This window comes from Homo sapiens, chromosome 10, assembly GCF_000001405.40.
Source record: "Homo sapiens chromosome 10, GRCh38.p14 Primary Assembly".
Lineage (NCBI taxonomy): Eukaryota > Metazoa > Chordata > Mammalia > Primates > Hominidae > Homo > Homo sapiens.
The window spans coordinates 106955476-106973088 of record NC_000010.11 but is presented as its reverse complement, the minus strand read 5'-3'; the positions used below and the strand labels follow the sequence as shown (position 1 = coordinate 106973088).

General features: G+C 42.4%; 1 protein-coding gene and 1 pseudogene across 16 annotated transcripts in view, besides 1 other annotated feature; one reads left to right on the top strand and one right to left on the bottom strand.

Moving 5' to 3' along the window:
* The window catches only part of SORCS1 (sortilin related VPS10 domain containing receptor 1), a 607476-nt gene that overhangs the window by 208050 nt on the left and 381813 nt on the right, over positions 1–17613 (top strand). For all 16 annotated transcript variants that reach the window (XM_017015617.1, XM_047424547.1, XM_017015615.3 and 13 more), the window contains exon 2: positions 16509–16576. In XM_017015617.1, coding sequence (XP_016871106.1) covers positions 16509–16576 — 68 coding nt within the window. The remainder of the gene's footprint in view (positions 1–16508; positions 16577–17613) is intronic.
* On the bottom strand, positions 2939–3068 carry RNA5SP325 (RNA, 5S ribosomal pseudogene 325; annotated as a pseudogene).
* Positions 16210–16710: an enhancer, noted in NCBI's record as "NANOG-H3K4me1 hESC enhancer chr10:108716137-108716637 (GRCh37/hg19 assembly coordinates)". NCBI's record gives its function as "activates a minimal SCP1, AML or CMV promoter by ChIP-STARR-seq in naive H9 embryonic stem cells {active_cell/tissue: H9 hESC(naive)}" and the evidence as "EXISTENCE:reporter gene assay evidence [ECO:0000049][PMID:30033119]".

Here is a 17613-nt window from a genome sequence, read left to right as displayed (position 1 = left end):
CTGCTGAGGGTCGAGCAAGGGTTTGTGCTCTCTGCCCGTGGAATCCACGGAGATCTCAGTGAATGTGATACAAAGATGACCCCTCAGCCTCAATGGTAGAAGAGCTAGCACAAGCCATCCTTCAAGGCCGTACTTCCAGATCAGAAGCCAAGAAGATCCAGGATTAAATACATACTACCCAAGCCCCAGCCAGTTTTCATCTTCTGTAAGAGAGCAACAAAAAACATCTCCCCATTGCTATAGAATGGATTAAATGACATACTGTGTGTGAAGCACCTAGCTGGTTGTAAGAGATTGAAAAGGTCCCTACCTGCATCTAGCTAGAGATTGTCCCCTTCTCTTTATTCCCATAGTAATTCATCTCTAAAGCATTCAACTCAAACCTTTCAGCTTGGTGAGTCTCTACACAGCTATGATGGGTAATGAGAGCAGGTGTCTGTTTACTCTTGTCTACGGCACTGAGCTTTGGACTCAGACTGTTCAGATTCAAATCTCAGCCCCCCCACCTAGCTGATCTTGGGCAAGTCACTCAAACTTTACGGCCAAAAAAAAAAAGAAGAAAGGTAAGACATATTGCTGTAAAGGATAGTTGAGAAGGATAGATTATGTTATTCAGAATGCTTAGGAGAATGACACAAATCAAAAATAAAGTCAATTAGTGATAATCCAGTTAGAAGGGGAATTCTAATTTTTTTTTTTTTTTTTTTTGAGACAGAGTCTCGCTCTGTCACCCAGGCTGGAGTGTAGTGGTGCGATCACAGCTCACTGCAACCTCTGCCTCCTAGGTTCAAGTGATTCTCCTCCTCAGCCTCCTGAGTAGCTGGGATTGCAGGTGCATGCCACCATGCCCGGCTAATTTTTGTATTTTTAGTAGAGACAGGGTTTCACCATATTGGTCAGACTGGTCTCAAACTCCTGACCTCTGGTGATCCACCTGCCTCAGCTTCTCAAAGTGCTGGGATTACAGGCGTGATTGATTACAGGCATGAACCACCGTGCCTGGCCTGGGGATTTCTAATTTTATCAGTCCCCTTTAATAATAAAAACAGGTTAAATGAATTAACTAAAGTCATACAAAGTGTTAAAATTGGCTCTGTAACCAGAATCCAGCCCTTTCAACCTCTTGCATTAGCCCTCACCCTGCCACCATACATACTCTATTTGGCCTTGCTCCTATTACACAGAAGAAGAGATTTTGAGAGTCTCAGAGGAAATAGCTGAAAAATCTGGAATTCAGACTTTGATTCAAAATCTGCACCCTGTTATATTTGCACTGACCCAGGGCTGTCTTTTCCTAGATAGAAGAAACTGACAGAATGGAAAGTGGATCTCTGCAGTGTCCTGGCCAACCTTCAAAAATCCCACAGAGCTGTGCATGAAAGCTAACACTCTTGAACGAAAGAACAGGAAAATCAATAAACCTTTGGATTAGATCATAGACATGTTTTACAACTACTCAGCCCTCACAAAAGAGTTACACAGCATTGAATTATGTGTAACATTTAATCCTTTAATCAGCCTAAGCTTTCAAGAGGAAATTCAAAGTATTTGGAATGTCATTCCTAAAATTGGAATTTGATAAAATGGCAATGCTGGTAGATTGCAATTTCTCAGGGTATTCTGATGTGACTCAACTCAAGAGGCTAGTTACAATAATTGCTCATGTAACTGAAACATGTTGTTAATGCCTGGAAAAGTCCATCATCAATATAACCACAGTCATTCAGTCAGACGATCCACAAATACTGGAATTCCTTAGGTCAGCAAGAGGATATTACATATTAGTTCACATGGAATTCTGAGAGGATATGGGGCACTGGCGTGATGCTGATTTGAACATGAGCACAGGAGCCAGGCCATTCTTACTTAGAGGTCATATTTTGAAATTTAAACTTTAAGATCAGTGAGAGGCTACAGACATGTTTTAAGGAGTGTGGAAAGATGTTTAGACTGCTATTTTTTAAAATATCGTGGTGGCAACAGTGTAAAGGGTGACCTGAGGAAAGCAAGATAAGATGCTGTAAAAGTTGTTGGAAGCAGGCCGGTCATGGTGGCTCACACCTGTAATCCCAGCACTTTGGAAGGCTGAGGCAGGTAGACCACCTGAGGTCAGGAGTTTGAGATGACCCTGGCCAACATGGTGAAACCCCATCTCTACTGAAAAAAAAAAAAAAAAAAAAAAATTAGCTGTGCATGGTGGCGGGTGCCTGTAATCCCAGCTACTTGGGAGGCTGAGTCAGGAGAATTGCTTGAACCTGGGAGTTGGAGGCTGCAGTGAGCTGGGGTCACGCCATTGCACTCCAGCCTGGGCAACAAGAGCAAAACTCAGTCTCAAAAAATAAAAAAAATAAAAAGAGTTGTCAGAAGCATTGCGGTCTTTTGGTTGATGTAGCCCAGATCAGGTTGAGGTGAGGTTAGATGGGAGAGGTATATAAACCTTAGAGACTGGTTGGGTGTGGTGGCTCATGCCTGTAATCCCAGCACCTTGGGAGGCCAAGGCGGGCAAATCACCTGAGATCAGGAGTCCAAGACCAGCCTGGCCAACATGGCGAAACCCTGTCATCTCTACTAAAATTTAAAAAATTAGCCGGGCGTGGTGGTGCGTATCTGTAATCCCAGCTACTCTGGAGGCTGAGGCAGGAGAATCGCTTGAACCCAGAAGGTGGTGGTTGCAGTGGGCAGGGATCACGCCACTGCACTCCAGCCTGGGAGACAAGAGTGAAACTCCATCTCAAAAAAAAAAAAAAAAAAAGAGATGTTGGTTACATTTGGAGGGAAGAAGGGGATAATAGAGTCAAGGAAGACTACTCAGAATTCTTAGTTTGAACAATGACAATAGTACCTACTAAGACTGGCAACACTGAAGATAGAGTAGGCCAAGGTATTCCGCATTGAATGGTATTGTAATCGGAAGAGACCCTTGCAAACGTGTAGTGCAGCCATAGAGGAAACTGAAGCCCAAAGAAGTAAATTGACTTTCTCCCATCCAAGTACTAACCAGGCCCGACCGTGCTTAGCTTCCGAGATCAGACGAGAACGGACGCGTTCAGGGTGGTATGGCCATAGAGTATATTGACTTTCTTAGTGTCACAGAGTATTGGCAGCGGAGCCTGGGCTCAGGTCCATATCTCCTGATTCATAGCCTAGGACTGCTAAAATGGATAGTTTCATTGAAAAGGCTTAATGAGCATCTAATGGGGAGTCCTATCTGAAGGTGAATTTACAGTGAAGCTAATGAAGCTTAAGATTCAGAGCCTTCATGGGCACTGGCTCCTTTGAATGCTGGGAGTTTGAGGAGGTGTCGATTGTTCCAGGTGGAGAGAGGAAGCCAGGGTGGAATCGGAAAGCATTTCTGTATACTCATTTCCGCTAAACCACCTGAACATATCTCAGAACAAACGTATGTCTATCTCTAAGGCACTATTAATTTCTTGTGATCTAATTTCTTGGGCTAGTAAATATGAAGTTTTAGATCTCGTTTTCTTTATGACTTTGTATTATTTTTCTTAAAGAGAAGCTCAACATTGAATAACTTTCATCCCCACAAAACCTGGGTCTAGTCCTGGTCCTAGATCTACTTCTTTCAACTCTTCCATCTCAGAACTGGCCCAATCCAGTCCTTCCTTCTGTACCTAGGCCTGCTTCAGGGACAAAATCAGCAAATGATATATTAAGATTATTTTTTGCTCTCAGATATTCCTTATTCAGGAACTGGTTCTTCTAAAAGTATAACCTACACTATTTGTGAAATGAGGTGGTTGGAGTTAGATGGAGTTAGATAATCTTTCCAGTCCCTTCCAATTTTAAGTTTCTTTTAAAAGAGTAACAAAATGCTAAATTTTTATACCCACCCACTAGCCATGCCATTGTAAAGAATTAGAACTAGAATCACATGGAAACATTTTGGTTCTGTGACTAAAAGACAAGGAATATATAAAAATCACTTAACCTCCGTGGGATTTTTCCCTAACAGAAAGTCTTGTTCTTTATTAATACATTTTACTTGGAATTTTAAGATGTTACCTAAATTTTAGTTTCAAGCCAGATTTTTTTTAAGTTTTGAATTTCCTTTTAGGCAAATTGTGTCTCACCACACCTTAGCACTCAGACAAGGCAAACAAAAGATCTGCTAATAGAGAAGTCAGTTGTTATTGTTGATTGACTATAATTTCTTAAGAGAGTAAAATGTTTTTCTTCCTCCCTTGCCTACATTAAGACTTTCCCATAGTAAAAGATAAGATCTGATACTTGCTTATTGACTCTCTCTGGTGTTTTATTCTTGTTGCTTTTGTTAGTTGTACTTTATGGTAAATGAGAGGAGATAATGAAAAAAAAAGTTAAAAGCTTGCATTCTTTTCAGTTTTTATTCCAGTTTCTTATTGAGGTTTATGTTCTGACACTTGGAACACAGTAATATGCATAGCATTATTTATTGGCTTCCTGCAAGTGTCTTGTGTTAACCTTGAAAAATAATACTTTTTAGAATTGAGTTGACTTCTTCAGACCTGTGAATAAACAGCATAAAAAAACAAGATGGCGAAGTGGAAATGGAAAGACTTGCTTCATTTCTTCCTGTTGAAGCTAAATATATAAAGGCATAGGAACAGAAGGGCCCCTCATCGTTAACACACAGTTTGCTGCTTAATAGTGTGTTCACTTTGTGTGTGGGTTCTCACATAGAAAGAATATTAATATTTAGATAGTGTCTATAATTCAGACAGATACTGATTTGAGAGCATGGAAATCTGTCTTTCTCAGATCATCACATCAGGGAAGTTGGAAGAGAATTTCTCCAGCTCTTACTTCCCTTCCATCTCGCTCCTACAAAACCTGGGTTGTATCCCTCTTAAGTATTGGTACATCTTTTCTCTTTTTTTTTTTGAGACGAAGTCTCGCTGTCGCCCAGGCTGGAGTGCAGTGGCGCGATCTCGGCTCACTGCAAGCTCCGCCTCCTGGGTTCACGCCATTCTCCTGCCTCAGCCTCCCGAGTAACTGGGACTACAGGCACCCGCCACCACGCCCAGCTAACTTTTTTTTTTTTTTTCTTTAGTAGAGACGGGGTTTCACCGTGTTAGCCAGGATGGTCTCGATTTCCTGACCTCATGATCCGCCTGCCTCGGCCTCCCAAAGCGCTGGGATTACAGGCGTGAGCCACCACACCCGGCATTTTTTGTCTTTTTTTTTTTAATAGACTTTCAGAGAGAAGATAATACAATAAATATTTCCTTATTGTTTTACAGCTCTAAACTGAGAATTCTGTGCATTTTCTGTGTTTGAGCAGCTGTGTATCAGGTGAGCTAATTTGAGTAGGTACTAGCTTAAAGAAGGTTGAATATAATCTCTCTCCCCTTCTAAGCACTGGAGGGGAATGAGAACAGGATTTATCGCTTGTTTCTTTAACTATAAAACAATGGGCTTGCGCAAGATATGCTACGTGGTTTCCTCCAACTGCAGCTCTGGAGACAACCATGCTAAGTTGCCAGCTTCTCCCCCTATTCCCTGGCCCCAGTTAATTTCAGGTCTTGAAGCCTTGGCTTTGGGTCTGTAGGCCTGTTTCATTTTTCTATTTTACTATCCATATGTAGAAAGATCTTGTCTTGAATATGCATTTTCCTCACATTTTGTATAATTATCTCATCTTGCTACTCTTTTGGGATTACATTGGTGCAGCTATTTGGTTTTTTTCTAGAAAAAATATTTAATTTAGCATCTCCCTTATTTTCCTGGTTTAATGTAAAAAAAAAGTCAAAATCATTTAAGGCAGAATAATTTACCAAGAGGAAGAAGAATATGCAGTGGTCAGCTATGTATTATATATGGATATATATTTTGAGAATTATGCTCTTTTTATTATTCAAAATAAAGAACGGGAGAAGGAGGTGGCAGGGGAGGAAACAAGACAAGTGTCCTCAGACTCTCTGGTTTGGCAATGTGAAATTAATAGATTTTGGAGGGAGTGCATTTTTTTTTTTTTTGAGTGGATAGCATCTCTGAACTTGGGAAATAGAAGAACCTGTCAAAGGTTAAATGTGTCCCCTATTTTCAAGATTTGCATCAAAAAGCAACTTAAGTCTAGTGGATTTGACAAGTTTAGTTTTATTTACTGAATATAAAGACCTGACTCTATGACTAGAGTCTGATAGTTTGGTTTAACCTTATTATAAGCTTATTTTTTATTTTTATTTTTATTTTTTGGGTTTGTTACTAGCAGGAAGGAACTTAGCTTTCAGCAAAGGGAGAAAACCCATGAGTTCCCTTGAGTGAGAGCTGCAGTATTTCTCACATGGCAGCTCCTGGCACAGGAAGAGTCCTGCAACTCAGGTGCAGATTTTATGTCTTAGCTACAAATGACCTCTGGCTCTGTGGAGAAACAGAGTCAGGAGGGTATAGCAAATTTACAAAAAGTTTTTTGCTCTTCACGAGGGCTCTCCATGTGCTACAATTTGCTGTGTCTAATGTTGATTCGGTTATCTGTATGTCCCTAGCTCTGTCTGCAACACTGTTGGTTGGCTTGCCTTTTAATTTCCTCAAGGGGTATGCAGTGGCTGTTTCACTCAATTTCAGTGCCATGCAGAGGATTTTACATAAATAAACATGACATTAAATTATGTGTGGGCTGCTACAAAATATAAAGGGCATTTAGGGATTAAATACTTTTCAGAGGCAAAAATCCACTAACTGCTTTCTGGATGCTTTCTTGTACCCCAAATTAGTCCACTGTTTCTACCATTTTTTCATTTCGTCAAGTATGTTTGTCTAGACCAGATTACTTTTGTCTGTTGACTTCACATGTTAGTGTGTGAGTGTGTGTGGTGTGTGCGTGCATATGTATTTCTATCACCCTTTCAACTCTCCTCTGGAGCACCTTGATCCAGCTTAGCCATTATTGATTTCTTTCCCCTTTGATAACTCAAAAAGAGTGTAATTATGCATTCACTTAAATCTAAATGATGATACTGTAAAACCATCTGTGGAAATCTGCAGTTAGCTGCATGTGCATTCGCTGTCAGGAACCCCTGATCCGGCAGCAGCCAAGTTCTCCAGTAATTTAAATGGAAGGATCAGTTCCTGAAGAGGATTTTACCAGGGTTCAAAACTTTAAAAAACGTAATAATTAAATTTTAAAATGACCACAAAATGCCATTGACTTGAGGTCAGTAAAGAGTAAAAACTCAAGCATGTCTATGATCAGGAAAATATATTCCAGCAATGTCTAGAAGAAGGCAGAGTGAGAGAAGGGTTTGTGACTAGTACCATGTCTGACAGGTAACAGGGCTCCAATAAATGTTTTTGAAATGAACAGAAAGCGAGGGCATTTCAGTGGTTCTGCCTTGCCTCTAGTAATCATCATGCCCATATTAGACAGGATACCAGAGAGGAAAGTTTAGCACAGGGATTAGGATTCCATATGTGATGTGACTTAGACTTCAAATTACTGGCTTAGTAATTTAACTTACTTAGCTTCTCTGTGGCTCAATTTCATCATCATAAAACAATCAGATAATTGAAATTTCTTAATTATGATATCTGGCACACAGAGTAGACATCAAATAGACGCTACAAGTTAGTTCAGGACTCAGGCGACTTACTGAAAATCACACAGTGGTACACCCTAGTATTTGCTACTCAGCAGCCATTCCCCACTCTTTCTTTGCTGGCAGAACCCACCTCTGATCATAGAAAATGTCAAGTGGAAATACCAGTTCCTTGTTTTCTCCATCTTTATTGAACTGCATGTGGGCATGTGGCAGGATCCTGGTTGGTGAGGGTAAAGGGAGTTTTGCCGGCAGGGCTTTTGGGAAAGAGTTTCTTCCCTAGGTAGAAAAAAATACAACAAAAACCACAAAAACCCATGTATACACCAGAGGCCTTTCTTTACTCTGCTGAGTATAGCCACATCTTCAGGTGATGAAAAGAAGTGTTATGACCACTTTGCAAACATGAGGGTAAGTAGCACTGAGTGCTGACACTGTCAGAGGGGACACGTGGACATTGCTTAGGTCCTTGATGACATTGTTGGGCTAAATTAGTCCTGGAACTGCGTAAACTCTGGACTTCCTGCTATATGACATAATGAACCACTTATTGCTTGAGTCACTATTAGCATTCTGTTTCTTGCTGCAAACGGCATTCTACTAGATCTGGTGGCTAAACCAGGACTCAAAATCTGGTCTTGGCCAGGCATGGTGGCTCACACCTGTAATCTCAGCACTTTGTGGGGCTGAGGCATGAGGATCATTTCAGGCCAGGAGTTAGAGTCCAGCCTAGGCAACATAGCAAGACCCTATATCTAAAAAAAATTAGGCCTGGTGCAGTGGCTCATGCCTGTAATCCCAGCACTTTGGGAGGGCAAGGCAGGCAGATAAGGAGGTCAGGAGATCGAAACTATCCTGACTAACACAGTGAAACACCGTCTCTACTAAAAATATAAAAAATTTGCCAGGTGTGGTGGCACGCACCTGTAGTCCCAGCTACTTGGGAGGCTGAAGAAGGAGAATCGCTTGAACCCGGGAGGCAGAGGTTGCAGTGAGCCAAGATCGCACCACTGCACTCCAGCCTGGGTGACAAGGTGAGACTCCATCTCAAAAAGTTAAAATAAAATAAAATAAAATAAAATATTAGCCAGGCATAGTGGTGTGTGCCTGTAGTCCCATCCACCCAGGACACTGAGGCAGGAGGATCACTTGAGCTCAGGAGTTCAAGGCTGCAGTGAGCTATGAGTGCATCACTGCACTCTAGCCTGGGTGACAGAGTAAGGCCTTGCCTATAAAAAAAATAATTAATTAAAAATCAAAATCTGGTCGTCTTCTGGTTCCAAAGCCTTTTCTGTTTTGAGCAGAGCACACTACCAGCCTAATATTTAAGGTCCTCCACAATAGTGCCAAAGCCTATCTCTGTATTCTGATATTGTGTTGGGTCCCTGCTCATACTCTAACCTTTAGGTAAACCAGAAGACTTGACCTTTTCTTAATGCTCTCTGAGCTTTCTCCCTCAGTTCCTTTCCTTGCAGTACCCTTTGTATACCTCTCGTCTTTATCAGAATCACACTCATCTTCTGGGATTTGTCTTAAATGCATCCTTTTCTAAGAAATATCTCTTGATTACATCTCTCTTACTTGCTCCTTGAAAGATAGAAACACTTCCCTCCTGCTTCACATCTTTTTTCCTCATATTTCGTGAGTACCTGTGTATGGGTCTGCCTCTCCTAAGACTGAGCTTTCAGAGACTCATATCAAATATCATTCCTTGTTTTGTATCCTCACAGCATGTATTTTTAAATTATTGCCTTTTAACAAAGCTTAATAAATGTTTATTAAATTAAATCTGCAGAATTTTGGAGCTGAAAGTTCTTCTAAAGAAAGCTCTTGTTTTCTGAAAATTATGGAAGTTCTTATTCTTGGATGTATGGCCCCCCCCCAGGATTCAAGAGATGAGTAATATTATTAAAGTTATATTTATTGTTTTATGCCCATAAGTTGTATCAGATTATATTCTTAAAGGATTCTTGGGTCCCCAAAAGAATGAGAACCTCTGTTTAAGTTGGAAAGTCAAATAAATACTTAGCCAAAGACACACAATCTGGAACATGCATATTTTGAAGAAAACTAGTGCTGTGAGTTTGCTGCTTTTCCCTAAAATTGGAGTGCCAAGAAAACAATCAAAAACAAATTTCTGGCCGGGTGCGGTGCCTCACACCTGTAATCCCAGCACTTTGGGAGGCCGAGGTGGGCGGATCACAAGGTCAGGAGATCGAGACCATCCTGGCTAACACGGTGAAACCCTGTCTCTACTAAAAATACGGAAAGTTAGCCGGGCGTGGTGGTGGGCGCCTGTAGTCCCAGCTACTTGGGAGGCTGAGGCAGGAGAATGGCGTGAACCCGGGAGGCGGAGCTTGCAGTGAGCCGAGATCGTGCCACTGCACTCCAGCCTGGGCGACAGAGCAAGACTGTCTCAAAAAAAAAAAAAAAAAAAAAAAAATTCTGGCCATTGAACACTGCTCTCTTATTTTATCCAACTCTTTGATTCTCATGAAAGATTATTCCAAATCTCTTCAGGCTCCTTATTATTCTCTTCCCCCATATTTGCTTTCCTCAGGATCTGTAAATACGTCTAAACAATTGGTCTCCAGCAAGCTGCTGAAATAAGCAGAGAGGTAGCTATCGGAGCTTGGACAATGAAAAAACACTAAGGCCTGCTGTAAGATGGTGGGAGCAGGACAAAGGTGGCCAGCATCAGCACCGCCCAACATGCTGGCATCTTCAATATGGTTGTTCCCTTGCTCACCCAAGCCAGACTATGGCCCACCCCAGGCAAGAGCAATTATGACCATTAGTATGGCTAAGTGCTGTGGAGTCTTCCCATGTGTTACACGAAGCACCAGCCCATGCCATCCCTGAATCACTAGTGGTTGAGAGAAATACAAAAGAAATAGTGCTGTTTTATAGACTAGGACCTAGTCATCATCTACATTATTCAGGATTTGGAAATATAGACCATAAGGAATGGAAGACATTTTGGGATTGTGTACTCTAATCCTAAGCCCATACTTTTGTTTCTTTTGAGATTTGATACTGCTTCCACAGTTGGACATAGAGGAAAACAAGAATGCAAATTATTATTAATTGAAGAGTGAAGAGATATGTCCCCATTTTCTTTTTCTTTTCTTTTCTTTCTTTTTTTTTTTTTTTTTTTTTGAGATGGAGTTTTGCTCTTGTTGCCCAGGCTGGAGTGCAATTTTGCGATTTGGCTCACCACAACCTCTACCTCCCAGGTTCAAGCAATTCTGCCTCAGCCTCCCAAGTAGCTGGGATGAAGGCATGCACCACCATGCCAGGCTAATTTTCTATTTTTAATGGAGATGGGGTTTCTCCATGTTGGTCAGGCTGGTCTTGAACTCCCGACCTCAGGTGATCCTCCTGCCTCGGCCTCCCAAATTGCTGGGATTACAGGCATGAGCCACCACGCCCAGCCCTGATATGTCCCCATTTTCTAAGACATCCTTGGATGAGCAGTAGGCAGGCTAAGTATCCTTACAAATCCACTGACACCCCCCCAACCTCCTGATGCAAAGCAGGTGAACCCCACAATTGGGGCTTAGCTTGGGAGGGTTCTTGACTTCACTCAGGAAAGAATTCAAGAGTGAGCTGATGGTAGAAGAAAGCAGGTTTGTTAAGTGGCAATGTATAGCAGAGTGGCAACTCCTTCCAGAGCAGGGCTAACCCAGAGCCCAGAGTAGCAGTGTATGGGCTGTTTGCTAGCAATATTTATACCCACTTTTAATAACTTGCAAATTATGGGGTGGGCTATTCACAAATCTCTAGAAAAGGAGTGGTAACTTGCAGGTGTTGCTATGGAACTTCTCAACTGTCATGGCACTGGTGGGAGTGTCTTACGCTAAGGAGAGCAGTGAGGGCAACTAGAGATTGCCTTTGCTGTCATCTGCTAGTTCTGCAGGTTTCTTCATTTCACCCTGCCAGGACCAGGAAATAAGTTCCTCCAGTCTCCTGCCTCACTTCCATCGCACTTTCTGTGGGGTGAATTCTTTAGTAAATGAAGAGAGGAAGACGCTATGTTTTTGTTTTTAAGAAAAGAAATGGAAAATTCCTGTGCTTCTGTTTAGAAAAGCATAGAAAAATTTTGGTTCTCTACCATCTACTACTTAGTTAATACACAAGTTTTCAAAAGTTGCTGTATGTAGAACCAGATTACCAGGAAGGTGTTCTCAGGTTCCTTAAATGTTTGGAGTTTCACTTCTAAATTATATTTTATGTTAATAATAAAACCATGCTGTCATAGTCAAAGGTGTTACATGACTGATAATTGGCATAGGAGAGACTGCCTGTCTTATGCTGCTGGCAGGTTAGTTCATTTCAACGCATACCTGTAAATAAGGCTTTTTGCCCTACTGTTTTGATACAAAAGAATATTTTTCACTGACTTTTGGTAATTTACAGTGGAACAGTCTTATTAGTCATCCATATACCAGCATCTGTTTGTGAATGCTTTTGTTCTGTAACCCAGTGCAGAAAGAGGTTGGGGCTAGAAGGGAGGAATGTAATTGACATTCTCCTCTCACAGAGTCCTTTGTGATGGTTTCTCAACTCCCTATCCAGAAGGAGTGAGGGCTAGAGTTGATGGAATTATTCAGTAGGAGCTTTGTAAGGGCCTGAGCAAAGGGTCACTAATAGTTTGGGAGCCCGGGTTATGAAAATGTGGCTCAGTGCTGTGGGAGAAGAAGCCCTTGCCCACTCCCTTGGACCCTCTCCCATTCCTGCACAGAACCTGACCTGGCACTGTTTCTGGCACCCTTCTACCCTCCAAGGAATGGGTGATTTGAGAACAGCAGCTTGGTGAGTGGGCACTGGCATCCTCTCTCTAAGTATGGACTGGCTGGGCGCAGTGGCTCACGCCTGTAATCCCAGCACTTTGGGAGGCTGAGTCAGGTGGATCACGAGGTCAAGAGATCGAGACCATTCTCCTCAACATGGTGAAATCCCATCTCTACTAAAAGTACAAAAATTAGCTGGGTGTGGTGGCGCACCTGTAGTCTCAGCTACTCGGGAGGCTGAGGCAGGAGAATTGCTTGAACCTGTGAGGCGGAGGTTGCAGTGAGCCGAGATCACGCCACTGCACTCCAGCCTGGCGACAGAGCGAGATTCCATCTCAAAAAAAAAAAAGAAAAAGAAAAAGAGAAAACGTATGGACCAAGTGAAGTTCCTCCCAAAAGTTGTGTAAGCGATAGATGTGGCAAGAAGGAGTCACAGTGAAAGAAGTACAAATGTCATGTGCTGACAGCAAGTCCTAGACTGGCGAGGGGGATACTTGAAGCATGTCACTGTGGAAATCCCAGAAATAACTGGATGCAGAGGTCCTGGTATGGCATAGGTGGAGGTTATCAAGTCTTAGATAATTTGGGTCATAGCTATTTAAAGATAATATCCTAAGATTTAGAGAGGAACCTTAAAAAGCTAGTACCATATTGTGACCACTTGTTTTGAATCAGGGATGTTTTAACACTGTATAATGAAAACAAGATACAGAAATAAATGGGGTGCTGATGGATATGCCACTTTGTGTGGGGGTATATATGTTCATATGCATTTTGAGATGTATATGTGTTCATCAAAACAGCTTTGCTTTTTGATTGAACTTGAATACTCTACACTTGAACTCAGTTTTTCTATACATGAAAATTGTGTGCTGAATGAATAAAAATAAATTATGTGTATATTATTTAAGCACATACAACATTTCACTTAATTGAAAAGTTCCACTGAAAGCTGGACGCAGTGTCCTGCACCTCACTCCCAGCTACTAAGGAGGTTAAAGTGGGAGGATCCCTTGAGCCCAGAAGTTGAGACCAGACTGAGCAATAGAGCGAGACTCCCATCTCAAAACAAAAACGAAAGCAAACAAAACAGCTTCATTTTGCCCCATTTTGAGTTTGAAAAATACAACAAAAACAACAGAGAATAAAACCAGAATAGGGAGGCAATTTCATTTTTTCACATTTTCTCATTTAAATGTAGTGATTTTGGCTCTGGATCCCTTAACAGAAACTGATTTGTGAAATAGTATTGCTGTCACAGAAAAGCAAACAAACAGCAAAACATATCTAACATAAGGATGCATCGTTGTTCAGTAATAAGATGGTAAATAATGCACAGAGGCAGTGAAGGGAAAAAAGAAAAAGAAATCTCAAATAATCGATTGAAAACTAAAGGTTAGCAGTTGTGCCTTCTTTCTTGCTCTTGTTCTGAAAACAGAAAGATTAAATAGATTGATTCAAGCAGATATGCTTTCAAATGTCATAAAGGACTCTACTTCTGGTGCTGTGTTGATAAACTGCCTGAGTGTATCACTGGCATTTCAGTTTTACTAGCCCTGCAAGAAGAGGCAGGGAGCGGTTTCTACCTCCCTGCCCGCCTGCCCTGGGATTGCTTAAACAATTTCTGTGTGCTTGTGCAAGTGGCTCCACACCATCACATGCTGGGTTAAAGGGTTCCTTCTCCGGGGCACCTTTGAATTCCCTCATCACAAGAATGGGAGACACAGCCTGTGACCAGCTGAACTTCATTATTTAGTTTACTGCGGTCTTGTATCAGGAGAGCAACTACCTAGAAATGCTTTATGCCCACACCCCTATTTTCTTGGTGGGGGATTTATAGGCTTATTCGGCAAAATTGTACTGAGGTGGAGTAGGAACATCATTCTGTGTCTTCAAACAAACAGCCACCCTGCTGCCACTGATCAGCGTTCCTGGGATGGCGGTGATTGAAATTTAGCACTGAGAGCGACTTAATTGGCACATGGATCTGTTAAGCATATGCCCCCACCACAGGCATGCCATCTGATGTGTCCATGGGGTGCCCCGCACCTCACACATGCTCACGTTTTGCTAAAGAAGCAAGTTTTGAACAGGACCTGGAAGGAAGGAAGCTGTGCTGTAGTTTAGGAGAGGGGCGGCCTTAGATGACAGGTACTCAGGGATCTCTGCCTGTTTTTAAGTTACTGTAATTTTTTTTTCCTTGAACTCAGAACAAACCTAAGGTCAGGGAGTTCCAGTTTGCTTGCTGTGAAATTAAAAAGTTAAGAATGTGTTCACTGATGCTTGTGCCTTCAGTAAATCAAACGCTGTGCTAGTAGAGTGGAACTTGGACTCAGCATTCCTCAGCAGCTTACAGCCCCGGAATTTAAGGTTAGAATGTTCTATGCTTACTGTGGCTAGAACTGATCCCTTGGCCTTCAGAGAAGAATTCAGGAAATCAATGTCAACATTTTTCTGCTGAGTTGGAAACAGCTGGGCTGGGCCAAATGTTCTAGGTTATGAGTACCAGGAGGAAAATACGAACTTCGACAGAAAACTGAGCAAACCCATAATGTTTTTCCCTTATGTAAGAAGAGCAAGTAAAAGGTGGAGAAATCAGTGGTTAGGAACACACACTGCTCTGTGGAATCTTCGCAAGTGTGCTTGGGCTCATGTATTTCAAATAACCAGGTGGACTCTGTTCATTGCTGCAGACACCAAAAGAAGCTGTCTTCCGGAGCAGCTGTAACGGGAAGGGTTTTGGTGTGACTGAGAAGGGGTATATAGCTCTTTATCAACTTCCCTTTTCTTTCATGAGCGCTTCTGTCCTAACTGGATCACGGACTCATAGACGGAATCTGTTTTTCTTTGTGTTCTCTTCTGGCGTCAGACAAAATCCTGGGCTCCTAATAAATGTTTAATAAATGTTCGTTGAATTCTGAAAGAATGAAATAGTTTAGGTTCCTCTGGGTAAAGTTGGAAATAGTGCTGCTTTCTATTTCGGAGGAGGATTTGCTGTGGAGCGAATATAGCTTAAATTTAGCATTCCACAATTCTACGGCTTCTTTCCTGAGACCTGTTCCTAATTTTTGATTTTCTCTGTTTCTTATGGAGGGTTCCATAAGAAATATATTACACGGTAATTATCTGGACCCCATGAAATAGATTTGCTCGTTAAAATGCTGTCGTTTAGCCCTGCCAATGTGGCTTCTATTTAATGGCTTTCCTAGAAATTGGAAGTCAGAAGAAAGTTAAAACCAAGCTCACATAGAGCAAAGGGAAGGAATTAACATTTAAGAATCCTATGCTAGGCCAGGTGCGGTGGCTCACACCTGTAATCCCAGCACTTTGAGAGGCTGAGGCAGGTGGATCACCTGAGGTCAGGAGTTCGAGACCAGCCTACCCAACATGGCGAAACCCCATCTCTAAAAATGCAAAAAATTAGCCGGGCGTGGTGGTGGGCAACTGTAATCCCAGCTACTCGGGAGGCTGAGGCAGGAGAATTGCTTGAACCTGGGAGGCAGAGGTTGCAGTGAGCCGAGATCGTGCCACTGCACTCCAGTATGGGCAACACGAGCGAGCGAAACTCTATCTCCAAAAAAAAAAACAAAAAAAACAAAAAAAAACCACATGCTAATAGATATGTAATTTGTATTTATTTCCTAATTTAACTTCAAACAGCAATTCTTTTGGGAGATAGCATTACTGTTCATCCCCCTTAATAAATGAGCATACTGACATTCTTTCAAATAATTCTTTGCTGTCTCCCAAAAAGATGGTAGCTAGGCACATTGGGTAATCTGCTCAATGCACCCAGCTACTAGGGCTGGAAACTAATCATTGACCTTCCTTTCTCCCAGGCATCTGCTCAGTGAGTACCTGAGTTGTGTGCATATTTGGCAGCTCTGCCAGCCTTCCCTAAAAGCGCTAAACCCACTAGGGAAAGAAATGCCTGCAGGAGCAGGTAACCCTTGCTGCAGGGTGACAGGGAGAAAGCTGGGGAGAGGATAGGCCTAAGCAATTCAGTGGAAGGCAGAAAGACAAGCCAACCTTTCCCCAGTCAGTGTGGCAAATGCTGTAACAATTCATTCAATTATGTTAAGTGACTATTAAAGGAATCCTAAGCCCTCCCTTGGGCCATTTCAGTTCTAAGAGATTGTAATTGTTTGAGACTAACCATGATTTCTTCTTTTGCCTTCAGGTGATTCTCATTTTGACAAAGCTCTATGACTATAACCTGGGGAGCATCACAGAGAGCTCGCTTTGGAGGTATGTAGATAAATGGAGCTAATAATTACCGTGTTATTTAAGCATGATGCCTGCTACTGCTGTCCCACCCACTTTTTCCTGGCAGGAAGGTTCCTGGTGATATGCACTGCTTGCTTTCTCTCTTTCTTCTCTGTTTCCTTTAGTGATGCGCTGGGCTTTATCTCCAGGCAGGCCAGAGCTTTACTTTCTTTATAGACCAATTCTTTTAGTCAGCCAGATTCTTTTGCTAACCTGTATGATAGGTTGTGTTTATGCACTGTCTCACTGACCTGTGAGTTTATTGGAGCAGAAGTGAGACTGGAAGTCTCTTTGCAGAAGAATCAGCACAGCCTCTAGGTCTGCAGAACGAGGCTCTCTACCAGGGAAACTTTTTTTTTTTTTTTGAGACGGAGTTTTGGTCTTGTTGCCCAGGCTGGAGTGCAATGGCGCATCTCGGCTCAGCGCAACCTCTGCCTCCCGGGTTCAAGCCATTCTCCTGCCTCAGCCTCCCGAGTAGCTGGGATTACAGGCATGCGCCACCACGCATGGCTAATTTTTTTGTATTTTTGATAGAGATGGGGTTTCTCCATCTTGGTCAGGCTGATCTTGAACTTCCAACCTCAGGTGATCTGCAGGCCTCAGCCATCCAAAACGGTGGGATTACAGGCATGCGCCACCACGCCTGGCTAATTTTTTTGTATATTTGGTAGAGACGTGGTTTCTCCATGTTGGTGAGGCTGATCTTGAACTTCCGACCTCAGGTGATCTGCCGGCTGGCCTCAGCATCCCAAAATGCTGGGATTACAGGCATGAGCCACCGCGCCTGGCCCAGGGCAACATTCCTTTACTAACTTCCCTTCCATGGTGGTCCTGCAGCTCACCAGCAGCACAGGCATGCATACCCACACTCATGCACACCCTTATCTTTGGGATTCACACTGTATTGCTTCACACATATAGAGTATGGAAATGATACAGGATTTTTTCAGTGCCTCTTCGCCAGCCAGAGACCTCCACAGCCGGCAGTGCCTCTGCTTGAGTTTTGCTTGTGCCCACAG